This window comes from Homo sapiens, chromosome 4, assembly GCF_000001405.40.
Source record: "Homo sapiens chromosome 4, GRCh38.p14 Primary Assembly".
In the NCBI taxonomy this organism is placed as follows: Eukaryota; Metazoa; Chordata; class Mammalia; order Primates; family Hominidae; genus Homo; species Homo sapiens.
In genome coordinates, this window is record NC_000004.12 from 152987837 (window position 1) to 152993361 (window position 5525).

The window sequence follows — 5525 nt, forward strand, 5'->3', positions numbered from 1 at the left end:
TCTGGACACCAATAATGAAAGCAACAAAAACACAGAACTCTTTCTACTTATCACAGGCTCTTATGAGAATTACGGTTAAATTTTTAAAAATCAGAAAATAAAAGTAATGTTAAAATGGCATTAACAAAAGGCAGCTCATTGGTAGCAAGGCCCCAGGGGAGCCATGCGTTCACAAACTAGACTGATGGTGTGGTTTTTTAAAGCCAACTTAAAACTGGCAATTACAAACATAACGAATTCGATTATAAGAAAATATGGAAACTTATGATGAGAATTTACAATAATGACAAGTGAAAGCTCAGAGAAGCAACATGAAAAGCGTCAGCCAGCTCAAATGCTTCCCTCCATCATCTTTCCTCTGACCCCTGGCCTTGGAATAGATCTTTCCCTCTCTTGAGCTCTTGGAGCACCTGGGGTCATCACACTGATCCCCACTTGCCTGGCTCGACAGTTGTTCTGTTTGTTTGGCTGCTGAACTGGGCAGTGACCTTCTCAGGGTGTGTGTGTGTTGAGGGGGTATATTTTTTCATCTGTGAAGCTCTCCAGGACACAGTGAGGGCCAGCATTAAGTGGGTGCTCACCGTGTGCAGGCTGATGGAATTGAATACACGAAGGGAAGACGCTGGGATCTCCCTGGTCCTGGGGGATCACATGATCAAGACCCACTGCCCAGGGCCCTGCTCATGATCAGATCTCTGCCTCTGCCTGGGCTTGGCCTCGGCGGGAAAAGGTGACAGCACCCAGGGCTTCTGTTGAAAGCTCCCATAGAGGGAGCAAAGAAATGGCTTCTGGTAGGGGAGGGTCCTTTGAGGCCAGAAAAGGGACAAGAGCAAAGATAAAGAGAGCACCAAGTGCCCCAGTCACCTAATCTAGGCTTTACATTGAGAGGAATGGCAAACTCATGGCATCCCAGAAATCCTCAGGCTTGTCAGGAGGCAGCTGGAGTGGCCACAGCCCCCCTGCAGGCGGCTGCCTCCACCTGTTCTGAATGCCCCTACGCCACACCCTCAAGCCCTGAGCAGGAAGGAGCAGCCATTGTGCATTTCAAGGCATGTCCCACATCTGTAGTTTGCAGAGAGCTCACCATATTCCAGGCAATATTGGGAAATGGACAAGCTGGGTGCTTGCCCTCTACCAGCAGCTAGGTAGGGCCAACTAGGCCATTTATTAGCTATTTGGCCTTAGGCAAATTGCTGAACATCTCTGCTTGGGAACAATAGCTGTATATAATCGCAGAGCAATTGAGAGGGTTAAATGACTAAATGTGTTGAAACAGTATAAGTGTTTGCCATTATCACTCTTCTAGGTCATAGCACAGACATGGCAACTTCTCAGTTGGAAATGCACCCCTGGAGTTCTGCCTGCCAGACAGAGATGGATGTAGAGACTTGTATGCATCAGGTGGGGAGTCACAGCAGCCTAATGACTCAAGGCAGTGACCTTTGATGCCTTGATGTCACCTGTATCTGCTTGGTGACCTTGGGTAGGTCATTGAACCCAGCTATGCCTCTATTTCTGCTTCCTCCTCCACTGGAGAAAGCAAGGCATGGTTCCATGACACCTGACAGCACATTAATAGCCAGATTGTGTCTAATTTATTGGATCTATAAAATGCATTTGCTTCCAAAGCCCATGATCTCATCCTCAAGGCCAAAGTCTTCAGGGGAACCCCTCCCACCCAGGACTCTTGGCATCCCTCCCTCCCGGAGAATGTTTGCCCAACACTTATAAGAATGGAAGGTGCCATCTACATAGCAGCAGGCACTGTGTCCCTTCAGGGAAAGGTCAAGGGAACACACTGTGCCCAGAGCTCTCCCTTAAGGTCAATAAAGCCCAGCAGAAGAAGGAAGAACAGGGAGGCTCTGTCTCTGGGGCCCAGGACTCCACCTTGGGATCACCTGCTTCCCAGGCACCACCTGCACTGGTGTGTCCTCCACCCACATTGATGCTGCCACCCCAGCTGTGAAGAAGGCAAGACAGGAGGGGAGGAGACATTTAGTGCTCCGGTGACTGTGGAGCACTAGCAAAGAGGATGCCACGAGATGTTAGGGAAGGAGCAGAGGCCTGGAGCTCATGAAACCTCCTGGCCTTGTCGTGGGCTGACCTGGGCAGTCACACATCCTCTCTAAATGTCTGTTTCCTCATTCTTCCAAGGGAGGTGGGCTCAATGCCTAAGTTCCCATCAGGGCTGAAGTTCTTTGATTCTCATAGCACAGTTCTTGGTAAGAGTGTTAGGGTGTTGACCCCCACTGCGGCCCACCCCTCTGCTCCAGTGCTCACATCTTATGCCAGTAGCCTCCACCCATCTCCTAGAAGGGTCTCGAACAGCCCTTCCCTCGCTGCTCTTTGTGATCCCTTCCAGAACCCTGGGGCCTCTTTGAGGACCTGTGAATACTGATGGGTGATGGCATGAGCTTTGGAACAAGACAGACCTGATTGAAATCCCAACTTTGCACCTACTGATTGGGTTACCTTGGGGAGTCACAGGTTCTCATCTGTAAAACAGTAAAAACCATGCCTACCTTTTGGGGTGGTTATTTAAGTGGTGCATAGGAAGTGCTCAATAAATGGTCAATTGAATTATTAGGGAAGTCTGTTCTGCGACTATTTCCTGTATGCTTCATGACAATGGCTGGCACTTTGTTCCCTGATGGGGACACATGTCAGAAAAATGGTGGCTAGTCAGACAGGCTTACACCCCTGTTCCATCACAAATGAGATACAACCGTAAGATAAAATAATGATGGCTTATCATCCAGCACCAAAGGAATTTCCAAAAGAGAAGTTCTCCAAGTACTTTGAGCATACCAGACCATTGCTTCTCACATAAGGGTACACTGTTTGGCTGTTTCTAACAATGAAACACATCTCTAAGGCTTGTCACCATGGAGGCTTCTTGGAGGAAAGGACCAGGAATCTCCCAGGGACCTCTATCACATTTCAAACCTGTGGCCCTCCCAGCATGGCTCCGGTGGCTCAGCACAGAGCTTCAGCCTGTTGGATGCTGCTCACGGATGTCAGATGGTGCGGGGCGAGCTGGGAGCCAGCCTGGGTTCCTGGCTGATTGTCCAGGTTTCTGCTAACTCATTGTGGGACTTAGTGACTAAGCAAGCCACTCGTTCTCTTTGTGCCTCTGCAGCCCAGAATGGAAAGACGGCTTGCCACCTGCCTATCTCACTGGAGTGTAGTACGGTGAAGGGAGCTCATTTTAAAAGGGCTTTAATCTTGAGTGACAGGTGGCATATTGGAACCAAATAGTGGTTTTAACCACATAATATTCTTCCCAGGAGCTAACTCTGAATGTTATTTTGCTGTAGATTCAAAATAACATTGCTCCGATATTTATATGTTTATAGCATATATTTATAAACATACACTCAGATGTTCATAAACCTGAGTGTAAACATAGCCATCAGGAAAAAAGGTTCACCTAGCTGTTTCTTTCTTCATTCTGCTGGTTGATAAATTGGCCTCCCTGAGAAATTTTCCAACCCCTCAATTCCAACTCAGTCCAGTAACCAATAGAACTGGTGGCATGTCCCATCTACGTCAGGATGGAATTTCTAAGAGCTTCAGACTCCAAGTCAGTTGGAACCCCAAACATTTGGAGCTAAATCAAGTAGCACAGGTTATCTTGTCTGCTGACATCTGCTGACTCTGGTCCCCAGGGAGTTGAAACTAGGGATGCAAAACACATCTGTCCTGTTAGAAGTCAGGAGGCCAGGTGGTGACCTGAAAAGGACACAGGGCAGGGAAAGAGGGATGTGGGGGGAGGGGTTCTGTGGTCTGGCATGGCCTGTGTCATGCATGATCTGGATGCTGATTACTTGGGCGTGTGCAATTCGCGAAACTTCATCTTTACAATATGTACAATTTTTTCTATGTATATATACAGTGTTTTAATAAAAAAAAAACACACACACAACAGGGCCATGCAGGATTTGGGGGCATTCATGATGGAAACCCATTTTGAAGGCTGCTTCTTTGAGAGGCACTCTGACACTTACCGTTCAGACCCCTGCTTCAGGAAAAGTCCTGTCATAAACCTTGACCAACTGCCCACATTAATACCCTGCTCAATTTCCTTGCCAGCAGCTTTATGGGTCCATGGGTTCCAGCAAAACTTTTGACTTCAGCACATCAACACATCATACCCACACTCTGCAGAGGCTTCTGGACGTGTTGTGCTCAGAGCGAATGCTGAAAAGGCTGTGGGAAAGATTGGGCCTCTAAAGGCCCTCAGCCCCGCAATGACGTCATTTCCTCCAGCCAGCATGCACTCCCATTAGAGCCGTCATTTCCTCCAGGTTCTGTGCTTACCTGCCCAGGTGAGTCAATGAGCTCATCTGAGGTTTGAGGCAGTTGTCCTGGAAAGAGAAAAAACACTAAACAACAAACATGAAGTAGTACCTGTGCCTCCTGCCCCCTAGGAGGCCTTCACCTTGAACTTCACATAGGAAAGGCCAGCTAATGCCAGTGCGTGACTTCAGACTGGGCACTCATGTGCTGAGATAAACACGGCCAAGCCCTTTAAACAAACATTGTGGAAATGTTAGGCCGAGCGGTCAGAAAATGGAACCAGGCAGAGGATGGGACACAGGGAGTGTCAGCTGGGGGCTAGAATCTTCTCCTGCCACCAAGGAGCCGTGTGACTGGGGCAACTCACCTGCCTTCTCTGGGCCTTGAGTTCCTTAACCCAAAAGTAAGAAATTGGGTCAGAGTAATTTCTAAGTTCCCTGAAAAGAATGGAATGAAATCACCATGCCCATGCAGTCAGCATTTGTACAGGCTGGTGGGCTGGGTTTGCATTGTCTTATTTTGTGCTGGACTGCAGGAGCAGAAGAGGAAGCTGACCACATGCCTCCATTCTTGGTGCACAGTTGTCATCAGTCTGTGCAAAGCCCTTCCATGCCAAGTATTATTCTATTCTCCCCCTTTATCCCTAGTCTCCTCTTCTCAGCAGGCACCCACCACAATGTATTTGATATCTGTTCTTAGATATGTGTGGTTATATATGTGGGTGTGTGTGTGTGTGTGTATGTATATCTATCTATAGATATATCCTTGTAAAATACGTAGCACAGTTTGGGGTATGTTTTAAATTTACATAAATGGTAGCATGTTGCAAATCTCATTCAGTTTCTTCACTCTGCACTCTGTTTTGATGATCCTTCCACGTTGCTGTGTGTACATCTAGCTTGTTAATCTTGTTAATTCTTACTGATGCATAGAATTTTTTTTTTTGAGACAGAGTCTTGCTCTGTCACCCAGGCTGGAGTGCAGTGGGGTGACCTCGGCTCCCTGCAAACTCCACCTCCTGGGTTCACGCCATTCTCCTGTCTCAGCCTCCCGAGTAGCTGGGACTACAGGAGCCAGCCACCACGCCTGGCTAAATTTTTTTATATTTTTAGTAGAGACGGGGTTTCACCGTGTTAGCCAGGATGGTCTCGATCTCCTGACATTGTGATCCGCCCACCTCAGCCTCCCAAAGTGCTGGGATTACAGGTGTGAGCCACCACGCCCTG

General features: G+C 48.0%; 4 annotated features.

Moving 5' to 3' along the window:
• Positions 3212 to 4411: an enhancer, noted in NCBI's record as "P300/CBP strongly-dependent group 1 enhancer chr4:153912200-153913399 (GRCh37/hg19 assembly coordinates)". NCBI's record gives its function as "activates an origin of replication core promoter dependent on BRD2, BRD4, P300/CBP, MED14 and CDK7 cofactors, with strong dependence on P300/CBP, by STARR-seq in HCT116 cells {active_cell/tissue: HCT116}" and the evidence as "EXISTENCE:reporter gene assay evidence [ECO:0000049][PMID:35650434]".
• Positions 3212 to 4440: a biological region, named in NCBI's record as "P300/CBP strongly-dependent group 1 enhancer GRCh37_chr4:153912200-153913399".
• Positions 3939 to 4440: an enhancer, noted in NCBI's record as "H3K27ac hESC enhancer chr4:153912927-153913428 (GRCh37/hg19 assembly coordinates)". NCBI's record gives its function as "activates a minimal SCP1, AML or CMV promoter by ChIP-STARR-seq in primed H9 embryonic stem cells {active_cell/tissue: H9 hESC(primed)}" and the evidence as "EXISTENCE:reporter gene assay evidence [ECO:0000049][PMID:30033119]".
• Positions 4441 to 4940: an enhancer, noted in NCBI's record as "H3K27ac hESC enhancer chr4:153913429-153913928 (GRCh37/hg19 assembly coordinates)". NCBI's record gives its function as "activates a minimal SCP1, AML or CMV promoter by ChIP-STARR-seq in primed H9 embryonic stem cells {active_cell/tissue: H9 hESC(primed)}" and the evidence as "EXISTENCE:reporter gene assay evidence [ECO:0000049][PMID:30033119]".